Consider the following 23,483-nt stretch of genomic DNA (forward strand, 5'->3'; position numbering starts at 1 on the left):
CAAGACAAATAAACATAAATCCATCTGTATGCTCATAGACAGGACTGCATGATATACAGAGTGTGGTACCACTTGTGTATCCAAACAAAATCCTACCTAATCCATGACTGACACAGAGCCCCCGGGCAGAGGGGCCATATCCTTACCACCTCTCTGTCCCTGTGGCAGCTCTGGCCTCTCAATAGCTGCTTCTGAAATAGCATTGGTTTCAGGGAATTTATGACTTAACTGACTTTGCTGTTATTATGTGGATTAAGAACCAGGCCCAAAGTTGATTCTTTCCCATTGTTGAACTTGGATGACGATGTAATTGGCAAACTGTAGCCCGTGGGCCAAATTCTGTCTGTTGCCTGTTTTTGTAAATAAACTCTTATTGGAACACAGCCACGCCCATTTGTTTATGTATTGTCTGTGGCCGCTTTCCATACAACAGCAGGATTGAGTTGTTGCAACAGAGACCATGTGGCCTGCAGAGGCTAAAATACTTATTATCTGGCTCTTTACAGAAAAATTTGTTGACCCTTCTCCTAAGCCTTTCCCCTAGACCCGCTCTCTTTCTTCCAACACTGGCGAAAATGGAAAGGAATTAGCCCTTCCTGTTGCTACTGTGTTACTCAGGGGGTTTGGGAGAGCTGTTGTAAAAGCTCTGGACTAATGATTACTTTATTAGAAATTAATCAATTAAGAAAATCACTGCATTCCCTTGCCTCTCCAACACACAAATTTAAGTCCTGCAGCAGAAGTTCTATCTAAAGCAGGTCCCCTGTGGACGTTGCTGTAGAACTTCTGAAAATGAGTACTTCTCCCCTCCCTCCCACCTCCAGCAGATTCGGATTCCCTGGAGGACAAGGATTCCGACTGTTATCTTTCTGTCCTCAGGGTCTAGCAGGATGCTGGCACATTGCAGATGCTTAGTACATATACAGTGGATAAATACATCAGTGGAAAATATGAAAAAAGAGACAGCCACCTTCGGCTTCTTGCTTTTGGGGGCAGCCTATTTAGAGACCATGAATAAGAAAAGAAATGAAGGAAATCTGTGAACCCAAATGAAATGACCAGCTGTATGAAGGGCCAGCAAATGGCTCATGGAGCTAGTGGCTTCACAGGTGAAAAGGGAGTGTCTAGCCTCCCTTAAGCAGGGCTCATGAAGGTGGGCCATGCTTCAGCCACACCAGGTCAGGCACGTAGTCCCCCTCACTCAAGGACATGTGCTTGAGTGCCTTGGGCTACCAAGTTGCCTTTCCCAGGGACTGGGTGGTCTCACGTTTGCCTTGGCAGGGATCCCCGTTGGGTGCCTGACATCTGATTTTTTTTAGATACTGTGATAGTAAATGCGAGGCTGCCATGAAAAAGGAGACTCCAGCCTGATGGGAACGAAGGGCGGACAGTGAACACGATTCTCTCTCCCAGAGAAAGAACCTAGCAACTGGGTTAGCATTTCCAGAAGGCTTTTTGTCTGATTCACAAGCTAATTTCAGCAGCAGAGTGATTATCTAGAACAATGTGCCACACAGAGTGGATCCCCGAAGAGCCGAGATGTTAACTTCAGGAGGAATCACTTATTCAGGCCTGCCCGAGGCATGGAAACACGAGAGCCCGCCTTGGGAGAAGCCGCCTGCCCAGGTCGGCCCGACCTGCCTCACGGGGAAATTGGCTTCCACTTTCTCTTTGAACAAGGATGGAGGGTGAATGGAAGGCGGGGCAGCGAGGGAAGGATTAAAGCCCCCTGTTTGTTCTATAATGGGGATATTCATCTTGCCTTGTAGAGGGGGGTCTTTTACTGGAATGAAAAAGTTTCCCCCATACAGTATCCATCAAAAGGTGCCCTTATGAGGCAGAAAGAAAGGAGGAGGGAGAGAAATCATTCAGAACAAGAGTGGGAGAATGAGAAGACATGCTAAATATCTGAAATGAGAGAGCACCGTGAGTTTGGCGAGCTCGCAGGGAGATTACGCCAAGTGGCAGGGGACGACGAGGGGCTATGTTTCAGCCTGAGCCTCTCGGTGGGCCCGGAGCCGGAGTCCGTCCATCAGGAACACAAGTCCCCAGCCGGGCAGCACAGCGAAAGCTTTGGGATGCTAATGGCCCTTTAGGAATGCTAAATGGAGCATTTCTGTCGCAACAAAGGGGCAAAATGAGGGGAGAAAGGAATTTTAGTTTTGAAGTTTCCTTAGGGGAGGGCTAAACAATAGCGGTTTTAATGGACAGTGTAAAAGTTTTATCTGCGTTATGAAAAAGAGGAATAGGGTACACATGCCCTCTTGGCAGCTCCTTGGTTGGGTTAAATGGCGAACAGAGCGCCTCAGTAGAGGCTGGACTGGAATTTGCTGGGTTTCAGCCTCTCTGAGCGAAGGGCAACAATGTTGATCTGAGGACTGCTGTGTGGGTCCCATCTGATCAGAGACACTTCTGCACATCTTGCTGTATTGATTCATGCACTCATTCATTCAGTCCATTCATTCACTTATTCATTCTCTCCTTCATTCATGACTCATCCATTCACTCACTCAAACAACAACTGGTTATTGAACACCCACTGCATCCAGGCAGAATGCTAACCGCTGCCTGCACCACTGCACCACTGGACAATGCTGTCCAGAGAGGGACAGGCCATCTCTGCTCTCAAAAAGCTGATGTTCTATTGGGGTTGAGCAGCAGAAGTAAAAGAAGTGATGAGAACTAACATCAGGTAGTGACTGGAGGGCAGCATTTAGACAAGGCACCAGGTGAGGCCTATCTGAGGAGGGACCATTTGACCTGAGACCTGAATGAGGAGAAGGAGCCAACCCTGCGGAGACTGGGGGTGAGACCATTTCAGGTCAAGAGAAGACGTGAGGAGGTCCTGGTGCAGGAAGGAGCTTGCCACGTTTGAGCAACAGAGCAAAGGCCAGTGTGGAGGAAGGTGGGAAGAGGAGAGGAAGGCAGGATGGATACCATCTTGATGGGCTTGATGGGAAGGCAGACATCTTTTTTTTAATTTTTATTTTTTTGAGACAGGGTCTCACTCTGTTGCCCACACTAGAGTGCGGTGGGGCAGTCATGGCTCACTGCAGCCTCAACCTCCCAGGCTCGGGTGATCCTCCTGCCTCAGTCTCCAGAGTAGCTGGGACTACAGGTGCATGCCATTATGCCTGGCTAATTTTTATTTTTTGTTTTTTTGTTTTTGAGACCGAGTTTCGCTCTTGTTGCCCAGGCTGGAGTGCAATGGCGCAATCTGTGCTCACTGCAGCCTCAACCTCCCAGACTCAGGTGATCCTCCTGCCTCAGCCTCTAGAGAAGCTGGGACTACAGGTGCACACCATTATGCCTGGCTAATTTTTTTTTTTGACAGAGTTTCCCTCTTGTTGCCCAGGCTGGAGTACAACGGCGTGACCTCTGCTCACTGCAACCTCCGCCTCCCGGGTTCAAGCAATTCTCCTGCCTCAGCCTCCCGAGTAGCTGGGATTACAGGCATGTGCCACCACACCTGGCTAATTTTTGTATTTTTAGTAGGGACGAGGTTTCACCATGTTGGTCAGACTGGTCTCAAACTCCTGACCTCAAGTGATCTGCCTGCCTTGGCCTCCCAAAGTGTTGGGATTACTGGTGTGAGCCACTGTGCCCGGCTGAGTGCCGCCATCTTGATGGTTTTGATGGGGAGCCGCCATCTTGTGGGCACGGTGAGGAGTTAGATTTAATTTTGAGGTCTATGGGAAGCCATGAGAGAATTTTAGATAGGATGGTGGTCTGTCTTTCTGTTAGTTGGTGGCTAATGGGTACAAAGCAGAAGCAGGGAAGGACCCTGGGCTGGAGAGTCCTGAGTTAGAGACCACCAAGTAGGTCTGGCTCAACAGCTCTGGTCAGACCAACAGTAGCTGGTCAGCCTCAGGTAGAGTGTGTGGGGTGCTGAGTGATGGCCTGGGGTAGTTTGGGGCCGAGGAAGGGCACTCGTGTTCTATGAGCACCGTCCAGAATGAGGCCACAGCCCAGCTCACTGGAAACGTGCCCTGGAGTGTGATGGCCTGGGTAGTGATGTGAGCACTTAACCCAGGCTCTGCTCAGAGTCCAGAAGCAGGGGCTCCACCCCGTGAGATGTGGCAATGGCTTTTTGAAGGAAGAACTGATGGGGCGTGGGACTGGTCCAGCATGAAGGATGAAAAGACGCTGGAGAGATGAGATAGTAAAGACAACGCCTTTCGTGCCTGCGTGCTTGCTGTGTGCCCCCCGTCTCGTCCCTTCAACAGAGGCCCCCCTGTGATGTTATCAGGGCAAGCGCTTTTCATCCTTAGGATTCTTTCTCCATGCAAAATCTTATTTGGAAACTCAGTGTGGAAAACAGGCAAAACTCGGGCTGCTTTGGCTGAAGAAGGTGTTGTTGAGGTGGGGGCTGGAGTGTACCCCCTTCTCCCCCTCACCCCGCAGAGCCCTGTCCTCTTCTTTTTGCCCCCCACCCCCACTTCACCCTCAGCATGACCAAAGGACCCCTGTGGTCCCCAGGGACACAGTTTCTCAAGAGAGGCCTGGGACCAACATGTACAGCATTATTTTTGCTCCCACTGAATTTGCTGTACAAACAACTGGCAATTGGGGTATGTTGGCTGAAATAATTTCATCACTTAATCCTCAATTTTACGTGTGACTGGTTGATTGCACACAGATCCTGTGACCCCTGAGTCTGTTTCCTAGTGATTGCCCGGGCTTATCACTATATTGTTTGCTTTCTGCTCTTCCCCGGGGTTTGCTTTCCAGGGGCAGTTGTGTGACCTGCCTGCCTCTTGGTGACCTCCTTTTCACTCTGGTGAACACTCCTTCATCTCCCCGTTTTCATTGATTTCTCGGGTATTTTCCATTCTGTAATACTTTGGCTGCTGTTTCTTCCTTGTTTTTATAAAATTCATCTGCTGGTTGCTGTTTACAAAACATCTCCTTTAAACCATCAGGCACGAAGGCAGGATTGCTGCCCCACTGGGAAGCCGGCCCCACAATCAGGTTCCACGTAAGGACGTTTTCCAGAAAATGACACGTGGCTCCTTTAAGTGCAACACTTTTAATTTCATGAGAATCGTATTTTTACAGGTCCAATATTATAGACTTGTTTGGCCAGGGAAAAACATTGCCAGTTCATTTTTAAAATTTTTAAATGTTTCTCCCATCATCTATTTATTTGTTTATTTTTGGAGACAGAGTCTCGCTGTGTTGTCCAGGCTGGAGTGCAGTGGCACGATCTCAGCTCACTGCAACCTCCGCCTCCTGGATTCTAGCGATTCTCCTGCCTCAGCCTCCCGAGTAGCTGGGACTACAGGCACATGCCACCATGCCTGGCTAATTTTTTGTATTTTTAGTAGAGACGGGGATTTGCCATGTTGCCCAGGCTGATCAGAAACTCCTGAGCTCAGGAAAATATGCCTGCCTCGGCCTCCCAAGGTGCTGGGATTACAGGCATGAGCCACTATGTTCGTCCTATTTATTTATTTTTTATTTCAATAGCTGTTGGGGTACAAGTGGTTTTTGGTTACATGGATGAATTCTGTTGTGGTGAATTCTGAGATTTTAGTGCATCATCTGAATCATTTTTGAATAACAATCTTTCTGAAATGCATTTTTGTACTTACCTGCCTTTTTAAACAGAGCTCAAACATCATCTAGGCCTTTCTTATTGTCTCAGGTCATTCATATGAACATTAGTTAGTGCATCCTATTGAATGCCGTGTAGGGAATTATGTACGTTTCTGTGTTCTGGCCCTAAGTGGCCCCACATGGCCAAGTCTTAAGACTTAGCATTGTGTGTTAAAAGCCTCACTTTTCTTATCCATAAAGTGGGGATTATTATACCGACCTTGTAGGATACCTTATAGGATTTTTGCAAGGCTTAGGGTCCATGTAAGATCCTTGGCCCATGGTAGGCACTCAAAAAAAAAAAAAAAAAAAAAAAAAAAGAAAAGAAAAAAGAAAAAAATAGCTTAGAGAAAAGAATGGAAAACAGCAGTAGATTCTTAGAAGCTAGATATTTTCCATCATGAATTCTTTTCCTGGGTTTGACCATTTATATTTTTTGAGCCCCAGGTAACGGGAAGCTTGCCCCCGCCTAGAATTTGTCTTTAAGGAGTTGAAGGGAGCCAAACATGAGAGAGGCAGACAGTAGAGTGGTTTAAGAGCCCACAATCTGGAGTTAGACTACCTGGGTTCAAATCCAGACTCGGCCACTTCCTGGCTGTGGCTCTGAGCAAGTTCTTTAATGTCTGTGCATTTCAGAGTCCTCCTTTCAACAATGGAGATAATGATAGTACCTGTCTCAGAGGGCTGTTAGGAGCATTAAATAATTTCATACACGTAAAGTGCATAGAATAGCACCTGGTACACAGTAAGCCCTCTATATTATCATTCATGGTGATGCCTACCTGCTACGTGGCCGGCACATGCTGAATCCTGGGTTTAATATGACGGTGACTGAGGTGTGGTTCCTGCCCACAAATAACCCTGGGGAAAATGCAGCAGGTACAGATGGAGGAACTTACGCAAATCCTCAAAAATCTGAACCTAGAATTGCAGTGTGACCCAGCAATGCCTCTCCTAGGTATTTACACTGAAAACAGGTATTTAGAACTGAAAACAGGTATTCAGACAACTACTTGTATATGAATGCTCATGGCAACATTATTCACAATAGCCAAAAGGTGGAAACAACCCACATGTCCGTGAACAAATGAATGGATAAACAAAATATGGTCTATCCACCCTACGTAATATCACTCAGCCAGAAAAGGGAATGAAGTACAACTTATATATGCTACAGTGTGAAGGAACCACAGAAACAGTATGCCAAGTGAAAGAAGCCAGACACAAAAGGGCACATATGATATGGTTACATTTATGTGAAATGTCCAGAAGAGGCAAAGCAGATTAGTGATTGCCAGGGGCGGGAGGAAGGGGAAATGGGGAGTGACTGCCTAGTAAGTTATGGAATCTCCTTTAGGGAAGATGAAAACATTTTGAAACTAGACAGAGGTGATGGTTGTACAGCTTTGGGAATGTACTAAATGCCACCGGATTGTCTATTTTAAATGACTCATTTTATGTTTTGTGAATTTCACCTCAATTACAAAAAAAAAAAAAAAAAAAGACCCTTGCAGATGGGAAGACTCAAGAGGGCAAGTCTAAACCACCAGGGCCACGTATGGCTAAGTGAGCATGTTTCGGAGCACTGGGGCCCAGGGAGGGGAGGGTCACAGTGGCAAAAATGGCACCTGTCGGAAGAAACTGCACTTACTGCATACGGGGTGTATGTATGCAAATGGGAGTGTACATATCTATGCAAAATACTAGCCATTATCATTAGAGTAGGATACATAATGATAAGCGTACAGTTGGCCCTCGAACAACACAGGCTTGAACGTTGAGGATCCATTTATACATGGATTTTCTTCCTCCTCTGCTACCCCAGAGTCAGCAAGACCCACCCCTCCTCTCCTCCTCAGCCTACTCCGTGTGAAGATGACAAGGATGAAGACCTTTATGATGATCCACTTCCACTTAATGAACAGTAAATATATTTTCTCTTCCTTATGGTTTTCTTCATAACAGTTTCTTTTTTCTAACATGTTTTATTGTAAGAATACAGTATCTAATACATAAAACATATACAATATGTATTATTAACTGTTTATGTTATCCATAAGGCTTCCAGTCAACAGTAGGCTACTATCAGTTCAGTTTTTGAGGAGTTAAAAGTTATACGCGGGTTTTTTACTGTGTGGGGCATTGGTGTCCCTAACTCCTGTGTTGTTCAGAGGTCAACTGTGAATTTTATAACAGAAGATAACCAGCAGTTGAGGACGGCCATGGTAACTGTCAAATGAATGGTTTTAACATTGGGCTTCAGGAGGTGTGTAGCAAACAGCACGGGGACTCATAATATCTGTTTTGCCATTAGCCAGCTAGCTCTCAAGTGGGATAAAAAGGAGTAGGCAGCCCGGGTGCAGTGGCTCATGCCTGTAATCCCAGCACTTTGGGAGGCCAAGGCAGGCAGATCACGAGGTTAAGAGATCGAGACCATCCTGGCCAACATGGTGAAACGCCATCTCTACTAAAAATACAAAAATTAACTGGGCATGGTGGCGCGTGCCTGTAGTCCAAGCTACTCGGGAGGCTGAGGCAGGAGAATCACTTGAACCTGGGAGGCGGAGGTTGCAGTGAGCCGAGATTGTACCATTGCATTCCAGCCTGGTGACAGAGCAAGACTCTGTCTCAAAAAAAAAAAAAAAAAGTAGGCAACAAAGGTTTAGGATGAAGGTATAATTTAAAAAGCATGAAGTTGAAAAAATTACTCAACCACAGTGACCTTGGTTGAATCACCTTAGGTTGTTTGCTTTGCACAGGGGAAAGATCATCATGTTCTTTTGTAGTGATAGAGCATTCTGATCCAACCAACAGAGCCCCATGGTTTCTAGGGAGGTGGAGAAGGCCTGGTGGAGGAGGAAGGGGAGGGCTCAGTTCCTTTCTAGAACTTGAGTGTCAGTTGAAAATAGAGTGAGGAAGGTGGCAGTTGAAAATAGAGTGAGGAAGGTGGCTGATTCTAGGCAGGTGAGTGGAATGAGTGACAGTGGCCCAAAGGGTAAGGGGGGGTCTGGCCTTTCTAGAGAACATGTGTCAATGAGACAGTTGGCTGGAACCTTGGCTCCCAGTAGGAGCATAGGAGGAGATGGAGCAGAGACCGGGTATGGGCAAGGTGGTGGCCAGGCTAAGGAAGGTGGGGTTTATCTAGACAAGTGGTTGTCACATTTTGGCCTGCTTCAGAGTCACAGATTGCTGGGCCCTTCCTCAAAGATAGGTTTGGAGTGGGGCCCTAGGATTTGATATCTAACAAGTGCCCAGGTGGTGTTGATATTGCTAGTCTGTCCACATTTGGAGAACCACTGGTAAGCGATGGGCATCCAGGAGCAGTTTTTTTGTTGTTGTTGTTGTTTTTGTTTTATTTTGTTTTGTTTTGTTTTTTTGAGACGGATTCTCGCTCTGTCGCCCAGACCAGAGTCCAGTGGCGTGGTCTTGGCTCACTGAAACCTCCACCTCCCGGGTTCAAGCAATTCTCCTGCCTCAGCCTCCCAAGTGGCTGGGATTACAGGTGCCTGCCACCACGCTGAGCTAATTTTTTGTATTTTTAGTAAAGACGGTGTTTCACCATGTTGGCCAGGCTGGTCTTGAACTCCTGACCTCGTGATGCGCCTGCCTCGGTCTCCCAAAGTGCTGGGATTACAGGTGTGAGCCACCACAGCCAGCCAGGAGCAGTTTTTAGCAGGGGACAAGCCTGATGAAATGGCGTAAACGATGGCCACTGGATATGGCTGTGAGAGCAATCACTCATTAAATCAGGTGGTTTTGTTCCTGAATCAATCTTGCATCTCAGTAGATTTTTAGTCCCCGAGGCTCAGACTGCCAACAAAAAATCTTTCAGGGCATTGTAATATTTTGATGACCACAGACTTCCTTGGAATGAAGTTGTCCCAATTCCGAATGAGGGGCCACGGCCTCATAAAAGGTTTTTATTCCCCTTTCTGGGCTGGAGAAGCCATCTAGGAAAATGCTGTTTCTGTACCTAAAGTGTTGGGATTTTCAGATTGTTTTCATGAGTTACAGACACACGGAGCAGCATGCTTGAACTTAGACCCTTTCTGCAAATGTCAGGCTGTATGATAATTGAGCCAGAATGTTACTCGAGCTTTCTGACACATTTTTTGAGACCTCCCATCCAGTATTCTCATACAGAAATATGGCTCCTCCAGGTGTGCACTTAACACTCGCTTCTTTGCAGCCAGGGGAACCTTTAGCTAAGGAAAAAAAAGCCCTCCTACCCTTGGTTTCAAAAGGTTTTGAAATGCTAATTCACAACCATGAAGTATTCTGACAGCCTGGAATGTTATTCAGGGCAATCAGGCACCTTGATTATTACAGAAGTGTGAAAGGTAAATTGCTGCTACCCAAGAAGTCACCCAGCTTTTCAAGAGAAAGCTCAGAAAAATAGCACATAAAATTATGTTCGGGGATTACACTTCATGTATCGTGTGATGGGGTGCTCTGACACCCAGCGTGTCTGTAGGTGTCACAACGTCAGCTCGTAGTAGAAATGTAACAGCATTTGCCAGCGTCGCCCTTAAGTAAAAAAAAATAATAATAATACAGGATTGTGGGAAACATTTTCAGAATGTGTTGTATGCCTATCTAAAATCTGAAAGTACATCTTTTTTGAGCTTCTGCTTTTCCTATTTTCCACTGAGAAATCCTGTCCCAGAGATGAGACTATCTTTTCTTTTTCTTTTTTCCAAAGGGAAAGACTATTTTTTATTTATCCTATAGTCTTTTATAGGTATTATCATTAATGACTTTTTTTTTTTTTGACGGAGTTTTGCTCTTGTTGCCTAGGCTGGAGTGCAGTGGCACAATCTTGGCTCACTGCAACCTCCACCTCCCGGGTTCAAGTGATTATCCTGCCTCAGCCTCCTGAGTAGCTGGGATTACAGGTACTGGCCACCATGCTCAGCTAATTTTTTGTATTTTTAGTAGAGACAGGGTTTCATCATGTTGGCCAGGCTGGTCTCGAACTCCTGGCCTCAGGGAATCCACCCACCTCGGCCTCCCAAAGTGCAGGGATTACAGGCGTGAGCCACCGCTCCCAGCCCATTAATGACTTTTAAAGCTTTGTTGTATTTTGCCACAATAAGCACAAAATGGTGTTTCTCCATGGTCCAAACTCAAAGTCAGGATTCAGTCCATAATCCAAAAGTTCCACATTGAGCTATGAAAGAGGTAAGTGCAGGTGGTTAGCAGAGCAAAGTTTTTTTTTTTTTGGTGACAGAGTCTTGCTGTCTCCCAGGCCGGAGTGCAGTGGCGCAATCTCAGCTCACTGCAAGCTCTGCCTCCCGGGTTCATGCCATTCTCCTGCCTCAGCCTCCCGAGTAGCTGGGACTGCAGGTGCCCGCCACCACGCCTGGCTAATTTTTTTGTATTTTTAGTAGAGATGGGGTTTCACCGTGTTAGCCAGGATGGTCTCGATCTCCTGACCTCGTGATCCGCCCGCCTCGGCCTCCCAAAGTGCTAGGATTACAGGCGTGAGCCCCAAAGATTTTTTTTTTAGCCAAGGCAGATGCATGCCTTGAGGAAGGAGCTGTTGTCACTACCAACTGCTCATGAGAATGAGGGAAACCCATCTCATTCGCTTTTCCTTACTGGGTTTTCCAGTATGATTTATTTATTTTTTCAATTACTAAGTAAGAAATACAAGCATCCTAACTGTAATGGTCCCTTTTTTTTACTATAGCTTCTTCAAGGTCTGGTGGGTAGTTGTAGTTTATTGCTCTCCTTGGAGGAACAGGAAAGGGGTTATATTGTTTGTAGGTAAGTGGAAACCAAACATTCCATGGGGAGGAAAGTGAATAGTTGTTTAGGGTCGTTTGTATGTAAATCCTTGCATCCATTCATTCATCGGTCCATGCTCTATCCATGCTTCCATCCATCCACCCACTTCCTGGCCAGCCTTCTCCTCTAACTGACTTCCACATCCAGGAGCTCGCCCCAGGGTTCTCCCTTCCCTGTACACATTCTCTCTGTAAATGACCGCTGCCATTTTCATGGCTTTCCATAAAGTGATGCCAAGCCTCTCTGTTTTACCTCTCTGGCCCTGACTTCTCTTTTGAGCTTCAGACCCCACAGCTCCCCATTTCTCACTTCTGCGTCGATGCCTCATGGGCACCTCAAGCTGCTCAGGCCAGATACCTAGGAGGGTTGTTCCAAATCCCTCTTTTTCTTTCACTCCCCCATCCCCAATCAGTTCCTCCCTGAGTCTGATGAGTACCATCCCCTACTCGGTGTATTTCATGTCATCCTGCACACTGTCATCATTCACACATCGTTCATAGTGTATTTCATGACATCATTCACATCATTCACACTGCCGAGTCACCATCCCCCTGGATGGCTCTGGTAGTTCCTTCCTTGGTTTCCTGCTTCCACTAGCTCCTCAGTTTGATCCATTTCCACACAACAGCAGTGTGATCTCTTTTTTTTTGAGACAGGGTCTTGCTTTGTTACTCAGGCAGGAGTGCTGATCACAGCTCACTGCAGCCTTGACCTCGCAGGCTCAAGCAATCCTCCCACCTCAGCTGCCCAAGTAGCTGGCACTACAGGTGTGCACCACCATGCCCCATTCATTTTATTTTTATTAATTAATTTATTTATTGAGATGGCGCCTCTCTCTGTCGCCCAGGCTGGAGTGCAGTGGTGCAATCTCGGCTCACTGCAACCTCCACTTCCCGGGTTCAAACAATTCTCCTGCCTCAGCCTCCTGAGTATTTGGGATTACAGGTGTGCACCACCACAACCGGCTAATTTTTGTATTTTTAGTAGAGACAGTGTTTTACTATGTTGACCAGGCTGGTCTCGAACTCCTGACCTCAGGTGATCTGCCTGCCTCCACCTCCTGAAGTGCTGGGATTACAGGTGTGAGCCACTGTGCCCAGCCTTATGTGATCTTGTTAAAAAGCAATACCCTTGCTATAAACCCAGAGTGGCTCCGTCGGACGGTGGCACAGATTCCTTCCCTGCCAGTCTGACCCCAGCCTGCCTCTCCTGGTTTCCTGCCCACACTGTGGCCACATTGCCCACCTGTTCTTCCCACTCTTCTGTCTGCTCTTGGCTGGTTCTTTCTCATCCCTCAGGTTTGGGCTCAAATTGCCTTGCTGAGACAGGCTTTTCCTGACACCCGGTCTGAAGCACTGACCCCACACACCCATATGGCCACAGTCTCTTGCTTTCACAATCTGAAATGATCTCGTACTTGTCCACTCACTGAATGCCTGTCTCCTGACATTGAACTGTGAACGCCACCAGGGCAAGCACCAAGTCTGCTTTGCGATGCCGTGCCCCAGCCTCCAGACCAGGCCTGGGTATAGCCCGTGAGCTCAGTAAAACGGCAGTGGATGAAGGAAGGCATGAATGACCCCAAGCAGGATCCTGTGCTGGGCTCTGTGGCCTCTCAGATTGTGGACTATGCTCAAGTGTTAGGGAAGTATGTAGAAACTTAATCACTTTACCATCTACTGATCCAAGAAAAGAAGGAAAGCTTAATTTAAATAAATTATTATCATTAACAGAGTTGACCATAAAATGAACAAAACCCTCATTTATCATTTTGCTAATCCTGGCTTCCCCACTAGAATATCTACCTTTAGCCAGAGATTAAATCCATTCATATGTGTCCGGAGAAAATATAAAACATATATACAATAAATATGTGTAGAGGAAAGCAGTAGGATGGACACTGCAATGTAATTGTATTAATAAGACATTAAAAATATAGTTAAATGCAATTATGTATATTATTGTCCGGTCAAGAAGATCACTAGTTGTATTAAAGATGTCATAAGCCTGGGCATGATGGTGTGCACCTGTAATCCCAGCTACTCAGGAAGCTGAGGCAGGAGGATCACTTGAGCTGAGGAGTTTGAGTCCAGCCTGAGCAACATAGCAGGACTTCGTCTCCAAAAAATAAAAATAAAAAAGATATCATAAAGACATCATAAGCTTCCATTGGTTACTTTTAGTATGGATCAAGTAGAAAATTCAATAGCAGAGCCGGGCGTGGTGGCTCACACCTGTAATCCCAGCACTTTGGGAGGCTGAGGTGGGCGGATCACAAGGTCAGGAGTCTGAGACCAGCCTGGCCAATATGGTGAAACCCTGTCTCTACTAAAAATACAAAAAATTAGCCAGGTGTGGTGGTGGGTACCTGTAATCCCAGCTACTCAGGAGGCTGAGGCAGGAGAATCGCTTGAATCTTGGGGGCAGAGGTTGCAGTGAGCTGAGATTGTGCCACTGCACTCCAGCCTGGGCGACAGAGTGAGTCTCCGTCTCAAAGAAAAAAAAATTCAATAGCAGATATACAGAATGGTAGAACTTAACCATGGATCATGTTAGTAAGCAATATTACAAATGGCACGTTGTGGCCAGTTGCAGTGGTTCACGCCTTTAATCCCAGCACTTTGGGAGGCCAAGGCAGGCAGATCACCTGAGGTCAGGAGTTCCAGACCAGCCTGGCCAAAATGGTGAAACCCCGTCTCAACTAAAAATAACAAAAATTAACTGGGCATGTTGGCACATGCCTGCAATCCCAGCTACTTGGGAGGCTGAGGCAGGAGGATCACTTGAACCCAGGAGGTGGAGGTTGCAGTGAGCCGAGACTGCACCATTGCACTCCAGCCTGGGCGACAGAGTGACTCCATCTCAAAAAAAAAAAAAAAAAGGCACATTGAGCCGGAGTCGGCACTTTGGGAGGCCGAGGTGGGCGGATCACATGAGGCTGGGCCAACATGGCAAGACCCCGTCTCTGTAAAAAATACAAAAATTAGCCAGGCATGGTGGTGCACACCTGTAGTCTCAGCTACCTGGGAGGCTGAGGCATGAGAATTGCTTGAACCCAGGAGGCGGAGGTTGCAGTGAGCCAAGATTGTGCCACTGTACTCCAGCCTGGGCGACAGAGCAAGACCCTGTCTCAAAAAAAAAAAAAAATGGCATGTTGTTAGGGATGTGGACATGATAATGTCTCCTAAGGCTATTAAATACAGCTTCAAGTGTGGAAGTTGAGTATGAAGCAGGGGTATGTGTTCTGGGTGAGCCATAGAAGATAATAAATGTTTTGGATCTCTGTTTCTTTGAGCCTCCTGTTACAATAAGATAACAGTTTTCACTGTATTAAATACATTTGTCAGTGGAATAAGGTCCATTTGACTTAAATGCACCCGGGATACATTAATTTACACAGCCATTCACACAGCCACCAGAGCTGCCTTCCTTTATGACTCCATTCTCCACTCCTGTCTCTTACAGAATTAAGTCCAAACTCCTTTACGTGGAATTTGAGGCCCTTCTTGGTCTGTCCCAACCCACTCATCTTCCTCACTTCTTCAGTCGCCTCCCATGCCCCATCGTGTTTATGCTGTGCAAGCATCTTCAGGCCTGGATCGGGAGTTAGTTCTTCCAGGCATCTCTGCCCATCTAGCCCCTCAACAGGTGACTCAGGGTGAGGGCTCTGGGCTTGGGGGATGGGAGCTAGGTCCATCCCTCGGCAGCCAGGAGGCCCTGGGCTCAGGTGCTAGAAGCCTCTGGTGCAAACTCACACATTAGCCTCTGCCTCCATAGAGTTCAGATTGTATTGAAGATATCATAAACCGGGCATGCTGGTGTGCGCCTGTAAACCCAGCCGAGGTGGGAGGATTGCTTGAGCTGAGGAGTTTGAGTCCAGCCTGAGCAACATAGAGCAGTCTCCAAGCACGGTGCCTTAGGGCCTCCCAGAATGTCTAACTCAGGGCAGACAATCAATAAATGTTCATTGGATGAATGAATAAACTACCAGGCTAGAAGGGATTGATGAGTTTAGGGAAACGTCTGTTTGGTGTGACTGGAATCAGATTATGTTCTTTTTTTTCTGAGACAGAGTCTTGCTTTGTCACCCAGGTTGGAGTACAGTGGTGCGATCACAGCTCACTGCAGCCTTGACCTCCCAGGCTTAAGTGATCCTCCCTCCTCAGCCTCCTGAGGAGCTAGAACCAAAGGCATGTGCACCACAGCTGGCTAATTTTTAAAACAAATTTTTGTAGAGACGAGGTCCTACTATGTTGCCCAGACTGGTCTCGAACTCCTAGGCTCAAGGGATCCTCCTGCATTGGCCCCCCAAAGCGCTGGGATTACAGGTGTGAGCTGCTGCACCTGGCCAGATTATGTGTGTGTGTGTATGTGTGAATTTTTTTTTTTTTTTGAGATGGAGTTTCTCTCGTTGCCCAGGCTGGAGTGCAATGGTGCGATCTCGGCTCACCACAACCTCTGCCCTCTGGGTTCAAGCGATTCTCTTACCTCAGCCTCCCGAGTAGCTGGGATTACAGGCATGTGCCACCACACCCAGCTAATTTTGTATTTTTAGTAGAGACGAGGTTTCTCCATGTTGGTCAGGCTGGTCTCGAACTCCTGACCTTAGATGATCCGCCTACCTCGGCCTCCCAAAGTGCTGGGATTACAGGCATAAGCCACCGCGCCTGGCCCGATTTTTTAAAAAATAGGCCTTTTCTTAAGTTAGACCCTTGGGAGGGAACAGTGTGTCATCCTCGAATTTCCAAAAGGGGCTCTAAGATGCAGGAAAGAGAGTGGCTGGTGGCTGGTGTCCACACCATATGGCGGCAGTACAGACTGACCCACGGCTCTCTTCCCAGCTGGTGCCTTGCACTCAGCATGCATCCACCCCTCCATGAGTACAGGAATCAGCTCATCTGCTCTTCAAAGTATGGAGCTGAATTTTCCTATCCTTGCAAATAGCCTCTTGCCTCCTAGCCTGGCTTCCTCCACCGTTCATCAAGACTTCAGTACCAGGAGCACTGTATTGATGAATTTCACAATCCCGTGGGGATAAAAGCTGCTAAAACACTTTTCCCAACTGCTAAATTGGAACCTTTTAGACACCGAGATCTCACTTCCCCTCCTAGGAATTTTCCTATTAAAACATTTTAAAGGTCTATTCAACTAGTTTATAGCTATGGGAATTAAAAAAAAAAGAATGGAAATTAAGTTCTAGGGACATGTCTTTTTGGTCTTCTTTAAGAATCAGTCTAATTTCCACTTCATTGGCTTTTTGTTATTTCAAAGCAGAAGAATGAACATTTTCTCATTTCGTATTTCGTAATGAGGAAACCTTAGCAGAACCTGTATATAAACTATTTTGGTTTGACTATGGATTAATCACTTTCACTGCGTTAAAAACAAAATAATGAAGCCAAGGAGGTTATTTCCTTTTCAAGAGGAGGTTGAATTTTCTGAGCAGCTTTCTCCCTCAAACTTCTCAGAGTCTTCACCTTGGAGGCCTCGCCCTGCCTGCTTCTTGGGACTCTGCTTCTTGTCACCAACTGGGATTTGGGGACAGAAGGACCAGTAGGTGGGAGCACCTCAAAGTAAGGAGTGTGAAGTGCCTGAGGACAAGGTGGCAGGGGCTTCCAGTTCCTCCTTAGGATAAGGCTAGTGAGGTTGACCCCGCATTAACAACACATTTAAAGGTTTCATCTCCTATTTGTGATCTTGATGTATTCTACCTTTGCCCACTTGGTGAGGGTACCAAGACCCCGTGTCACAGCACAGGCCAAATGAACCACCTGTGGCTCATCCTCCTGGGAAGAGTTTGGTGGGTAACCCAGATACCAGTGGGTAGCCTTCGGGAGAAAAGGGTGAGCTAGTCTGGTAATGTTCCCCAGCACGTGGCTGGGGATGGTCCTGGCTGGAGCACATACCCGCCTTCTTCTTCGTAGGTTGTGTAGACTAGTGGACTAAGAGGTTGGACCCTGTACCACACTGAGTGGGTTCAAACTCTAGTTCTACCACATATCAACTCTGTGACCTTGGGCAAATGTCTTAGGTGCACTGTGACTCAGTTTCTCTTTCTGTCTATTATTATTGCCCTCTTCGTGTGATTGTTGTTAAATGAGTTAATTCAGGGGCTTAGAACAGTGTTTGGTTCAAAGCAAGTGCTCAGTAAATGTCAGCCATGAGCCTTCCGGGTGGATCTCACTTCAGCCACTGGTTAGGACAACTCAGAAAATGTCATGCGTGCTTCTTTCTCCCGAGAAAGGAAATTGTTTTACTCTTGTCCAAACTGTCTTCACTATTTAGAGGTCATAGAGGAACAAGAAGTGACTGAGAGCAGTCATGGCTCTTTGAGCCTAAACCCCCGAGACTTTGGAAAAGTGAAGTGTGATGAAAAGATGGAATTAGGACCTTAGTCTCCTGCCCTACTTGTCGGGTGCTGTTGCCACTCATCTAAGCTGCCACTGGTTTGGAGCTCACATTTTTATTTTTTTTGAGACAAAGTCTCATTCTTGTCTGCCAGGCTGGAGTGCAATGTTGCGATCTCTGCTCACTGCAACCTCCGCCTCCCGGGTTCAAATGATTCTCCTGCCTCAGCCTCCTGAGTAGCTGGGATTACAGGCACCTGCCACCATGCCAGGCTAATTTTTGTATTTTTAGTAGAGATGGGGTTTCACCATGTTGGCCAGGCTGGTCTCGAATTCCTGACCTCAGGTGATCTGCCCGCCTCCGCCTCCCAAAGTGCTGGGATTACAGGCATGAGCCACCGCACCCGGTCCTGGAGCTCACTTTTAAGCTACATGTGCTTTGTGGAGCAAAGTCATCATTTGGTAGGGGCTGGACCCATAGTTCGGTCTTCCCAAGACTTTTGGGGACTGTTTCAGACCATTCCCATGCTGCGTGTCCGCCACGTTGCTTCCACAGAGCCTCTCTGTGGTCCATGGCTCTTCCCATTGCCCGCAGACCTCACTTCCTCCAACTTCTTGGAACTTTCCAGATTGAGAGAATAACCACAAACCACTGAGGCCGGAGCACTGAAGAGTCCAGCTCTTTTTCACCTCTGTCAGCGGTCATGAGGGAGCCTGCTCTCTGTGGGGACAGATCTATTTTTGGTGTAACACGGATCGTGTGAACACTGATAACCTCAGACAGAGTGATTTTCTTCCATGTTTCTCAAGCATTTAAAGGGAAGCCTCTGGAACCACCGTGTTAAGCTCCTGACACGGTCCACAGCTTGCTCTAAGCCTGTTTTGATCACTTTTCTAATACAATGATATCGTTTCACATTCTCAGTAATTAGACTCTGTAATCCCTCCATTCTACTCTGTGTGACCTTTATCTTAAATGACATTTTTAAAATATGAAGTTTAAAAATTAAAAAAAAAAACCATAAAACAATGTTTGCAAAAAATGTACTAAAATGAATTATAGTTTCTAAGCCCTAGGCTGTCATGCCTGGTGGAAGCCAAAGGACTTGGCTCAGACCCACCCCTGGGGCCAGTCCTACAGCTGCAGGTAAGTTATGCCCACCTGCCTGCCCATGGGCGGGAGACCCTGCCCGCATGCCCTTTCGCCAGCAGCATCAAATGGAGGCTGGGGGTGATGAGCTTGTCAAGTGGTGGCCGATGACACTTGTATTGTTTTCCCTACACCTTGGAAAGTGACTCAAATGGCAAACATATGTCTCCAAAGTCATGCCCAGGGTTTCTTTCCCTCCAGAATTCCTAAAGACACTCTGAGTCCCAGCTTGCAGTATGAATGGAGGCTGGGGTCTGACCAGGTGATGGGGGTGTGAGAAGTTGCCTTATATGGTGGCCCCTACATTTCACAGCCCCTGGCAGATGCTGCAGTTTCCACATCCCTGGGGAGGGGTGAGAGATGCTGTAGATGCCTTTGTGGGATCTGAGCACACACGCAGCCCCGAGAGTCGGGAGGGAAGCCGGGGCTGGGAGTAGGATCTCTGCCCTTTGCACAGCTGAGGTCTGGCAAGATGCTTCTCGGGCAGGAACCCCAAGGGGAGCACTTTCTCCACGTGATCCATCATTTCCTGGGGGTCTTCATGAGTCCTTAGCCCCAGCTTTCCAGCTTCACACCAGCCCCCTCCCGGGTGGCCCTGGAGCCTGGGTTATTTGCTGTTTTTTTTTTTTTTTTTCAAGCGGGCACCACACCCGTGGACTGTCTGCCAAGAAGGACCATTGTTCGTGAGAATTCCTCCCTGGCTCCAGCTAACCCTTAGATGCACTATTCTGATTTTGTGGGCTTGAATTCTTATTTTCTTAAGCCTCACTTCTACCCCTACCCCCCAACTTATTCTTGCCTTCTCTCAACCCGGCCTTCTCATCAAACCTCATTTTGTTGCCCAAAAAGCTTTGAGAGGTGGGCGGGGATGTGGAGGTGAAGCCCTTCAGGAAAATTGAAGGTGGCTGTTTGACCTGGTCTCCGGAGTAGCTTTGCGTGCCCGCCTCGGAGAGGAGGCAGGGAGGCCCCCTGCATTCTGGGAGAGGAGGCTGTCGGGTAACCTAAGTTGGGGAATGCAGCGGTGATGGGAAGTGAGTGGGAGGCAGGGGTGGGAATAAGCGGGAGGAGAAGATAGGCTAAAGAATGAAAAGCAATATCTCTCCCCCCAGAATTGAGTTGATTAACCTGTAGAAAGGGAGGCCCTGCCAAGCCCAACTTCCTTGTTTCCAGAAACCTTGGCACGGAGGCCCCGTTTCTGGCAGAGGCCTCTCCTAGTCGGGGAACCAGCAAAGCAGCTGCTGTGATTTTCTTTTTCCTCTCATTTCTGGCAATCCGGAATGGGACTGTTTACTTTTTTCTTCCTCTTTCCTTCCCCACCCTCCTGTAGCAGGGAGTTGGTTCTGGTTAATGTTGAAGATCATAACATGATTACCCCAAAGTCTCCTGAAATTAAATCACTTTTCTTCAAAGAGAAAGGGGTGGGGGGACCGTCTGGCTGGTAGGCCAGCGAGGACGAGCGGATATTGAAAGCAGCCTGGCAGCTGTGATTCACTTTGCACAGCGGAGGCCCGGCAAGGCCCAAGCAGCCATGCACAGGGGCCGCATTTGCAAACAGTGGCTGGGAGGAGTCGCGTATCCCACCTGGGCCCCAGACACCTGTCTCCTGAGCGCCGAGACTTGGGGGTGGAAGGTGGGAATCAAAGCCGCGGGTGAAGGTGGGTGCAAGGTGATTCAGAGAGTTGAACCTGAACATGAGTCATCTGGGAAGAAACTGAACTTATCAAACAAGTCCCCACGAGAGTTCTCCATCACCTCCCACCCTGGGAGTTCATTGAGTCAGGGCACAAATTTCAGGGCAACTTTGCCACCAGAATAGCCTGGGATGGAAATCCGTCTTCAAAGCCTAACTTCAGTGGTAGCTGGAGGGATGTTTGTTTGTGTCTTTCCTTGTGCTGGGTCTTCCTGAACTCATTTGATTTTAGAGGTTGAGAGGACCATAGAGATCCTCCAGCATCTGCCCTCCCGCCGAGTGCAGGAGTCTCCTGTATACTTGACCCCAGCAAATAATGCTCAGCCTCTGCTTCCTTCCCTCCAGGGCAAACATTTGCCCTCTTACAAGGTCAGTTTTTGAAGAGAGAATATGGGAATTGCACCTGTTGATCCAGGTTGTGCGTTCCAGAGACTTGGAGATCCATGGTCCCACTTGGTGGGTGCCTGGCTCGGAAAATGACACAAAGTGAATGTGGTATTCTCTTCGTCATGGGCAGCCTGTTGGGGATTCTTGGCCCTCTTTCGCGCAGTGAGTTCAGCACTCCCTCTTTGTGGCTGTTTTCCTGGGCTGTTTCCTACCGTTTTTCATTCAAGGGAATCAGAGGAGTGGGAAACCATGTGGAAGCAGGATCTGGAAGATGCTCGATTCTTGTTGCTGGTGTCCCGGTACCTTGAGCTCTTTGTTTGGGGCCAGTGACCAGCCTGGGAGGCCCAGGAATCAGTGGCTATGTTGAGTGAAGACTTTAGGGGATTGGTCTTTTGGCGCCAAGAGGGCACCAGTTAGGCAGCAGAGGGACCATTTGAGAGAAGGCAGTGGTGCCGGCTCTCGCGAACCAGTGCGGGAGGGAAGCCTGACAGGGGCGAGGTGGCTTCCTGCAAGACGGCGTGTAAGCTCAGCAACTGCATTTTTCTGAGGAATTAGGGATGGGACGCGGCCAGCCCGCTCTGGTTGGAGCTTGGTGCTGTGACTCATTCTCATCAAGGGTCACTGAGCGTCTCTCTGCGCGTGGCCTTGGGCTGAACTCCTCACCTGGCCAGCCTTCTCGAAAATGTGTGTCATTCCTTGTGAGGCAGAGCCATGGAGCGGGTGAGTGAGTGTGCAAATCAGTGGAAATTCATCTGCACCACTGGAAAAACAACTCCAAGTTCATGACTTGTTGGCTTCAGAGGCGTGACTGTGAAGAATGGAGCTGACATTTTTGTTTTTCACTCAACACGCCCAAGTAGACAGATCCAGATGACTCTCCTGTCCACTTTAGGAGCCACCTGGGGAGGTGAAACACTTCTTCCACTGGCCTGGAGGGCCCTTTTACCAGCCCCGTGGGGAAGTCAGTCTTGTTACTTTACGGCCTCAGTTTTTATCCAAAGACAACATCACCTAGGCATGATCACTGAGCCTGTTCACCAGATTTGACACCCAAGGGTTGAGGCTGGATGCAAAAGTCCTATGCAGGTCCAGGGGCTGAGGAGCTGCCACTATCTGGGAAATTCAGGAGTCCCCAAGGGCAATTCTCAAAGGCAAGTCTCAGGAATGTGTTGGGCCCATTGGAATACTGTTGGAATAAGTGAGCCGTCCTCACTCTGCGTTTCCCAACACACACGGGTCTTACCCAACGGGATGTGTGCATGTGAGTGTGGATGTGGAATATGCTAGCTTGTTAGAAAGTCAGCCTCAACATGTTGTGGTCGGGCCTAGTTGGTTTGTTTACCAAGTCTCTTTGAGAGGCACAGTGAGTAACAGCAGGGTCTCTGGAGCCAGGCTACCAGAGTTCAAATCCCAGGCCCACCACTTAGAGATGGGATAGTCTTGGTCAAATGACCTCCTCTCCCGGTTCTTCCATCTATAAAATGGGGTTCAGCTGGGCACGGTGGCTCACGCCTGTAATCCCAGCACTTTGGGAGGCCGAGGCGGGTGGAATACTTGAGCCCAGGAGTTCGAGACTAGCCTGGCCAACATGGTGAAACCCTGTCTCTAGTAAAAATACAAAAAATTAGCTGGGCATGGCGGTGGGCACCTGTAATCCCAGCTACTCAGGAGGCTGAGGCAGGAGAATCGCTTGAACCTGGAAGGTGGAGGTTGTAGTGAGCCAAGATCACGCCACTGCACTCCAGCTGGGTGACAGAGGGAGACTCCATCTCAAACAAAAACAAAAACAAAACAAACAAACAAAAAATAAATAAAAAAAACTTAAATAAAACGGGGCTCTATGAGAGTCCCATCTGGTTGGTATTAGGATGAGTTGGCCTTGGTGTGTCACAGGAATGAAAGGGGACGGCCTGTCAGCCTCTCCAAGCTCATCGTCATTGCCCCTCCTAGCTTCTTTGGGAGGGGGAAGCTTTGAGACCCTCAGGGACTTCAGTCCTATGGCCTCAGACTAGGGATGTGTGTGTGGCTCTGCAGCCCCCGGAGGTGTGGCCTTGTGCCAGTCCCAGCGCTGCAGGGAAGAGGCAGGACAGAAGTGAGGGGAAGACATGTTTCCCCAGGGGGAAAATACCCCGCCTGGAATGGGTCAGTGGTTGGCAAACTTTCATTTAGCTGACAGAATCCTCCATGGAATCTAATGAGATAGAGCAGAAGAAAGCAGAGTTGCCTGGGTTGACGTTAGGGAGGCCCCATGGGCTGGCCCACCCCTCAACCCCAGGTTCACCCTTGAGGTGAGGCCACTGAATCCTGGGGCTCCTTGAGGTCATTTTTAAAAACTGCTGGTCAGAGAGAGGAGGTGATTCCCCATGGTCCCTCAGCTGACTGTGCTCATGAGAGCTGATTTGAGAACCTGACCCCTGTGGAAGACGCACAACCCTACTGTGTGCCCTTTAAGCCTCATGACAGCCACTACCTTTGTTAACATGAGGGAGGCCCAATGTCCAAGTGCAGTGGAATCCACCCA

General features: G+C 48.0%; 1 protein-coding gene across 3 annotated transcripts in view, besides 3 other annotated features; it reads left to right on the forward strand.

Annotated features, from left to right (window-relative positions):
• NTN1 (netrin 1) overlaps positions 1 to 23,483 on the forward strand; it is a 240,914-nt gene that overhangs the window by 49,660 nt on the left and 167,771 nt on the right. The window lies entirely within an intron of this gene.
• Positions 678 to 1,299: an enhancer, noted in NCBI's record as "H3K27ac-H3K4me1 hESC enhancer chr17:8956741-8957362 (GRCh37/hg19 assembly coordinates)". NCBI's record gives its function as "activates a minimal SCP1, AML or CMV promoter by ChIP-STARR-seq in naive H9 embryonic stem cells {active_cell/tissue: H9 hESC(naive)}" and the evidence as "EXISTENCE:reporter gene assay evidence [ECO:0000049][PMID:30033119]".
• Positions 1,300 to 1,919: an enhancer, noted in NCBI's record as "OCT4-NANOG-H3K27ac-H3K4me1 hESC enhancer chr17:8957363-8957982 (GRCh37/hg19 assembly coordinates)". NCBI's record gives its function as "activates a minimal SCP1, AML or CMV promoter by ChIP-STARR-seq in naive H9 embryonic stem cells {active_cell/tissue: H9 hESC(naive)}" and the evidence as "EXISTENCE:reporter gene assay evidence [ECO:0000049][PMID:30033119]".
• Positions 1,920 to 2,540: an enhancer, noted in NCBI's record as "OCT4-NANOG-H3K27ac-H3K4me1 hESC enhancer chr17:8957983-8958603 (GRCh37/hg19 assembly coordinates)". NCBI's record gives its function as "activates a minimal SCP1, AML or CMV promoter by ChIP-STARR-seq in naive and primed H9 embryonic stem cells {active_cell/tissue: H9 hESC(naive and primed)}" and the evidence as "EXISTENCE:reporter gene assay evidence [ECO:0000049][PMID:30033119]".

This window comes from Homo sapiens, chromosome 17, assembly GCF_000001405.40.
Source record: "Homo sapiens chromosome 17, GRCh38.p14 Primary Assembly".
In the NCBI taxonomy this organism is placed as follows: Eukaryota; Metazoa; Chordata; class Mammalia; order Primates; family Hominidae; genus Homo; species Homo sapiens.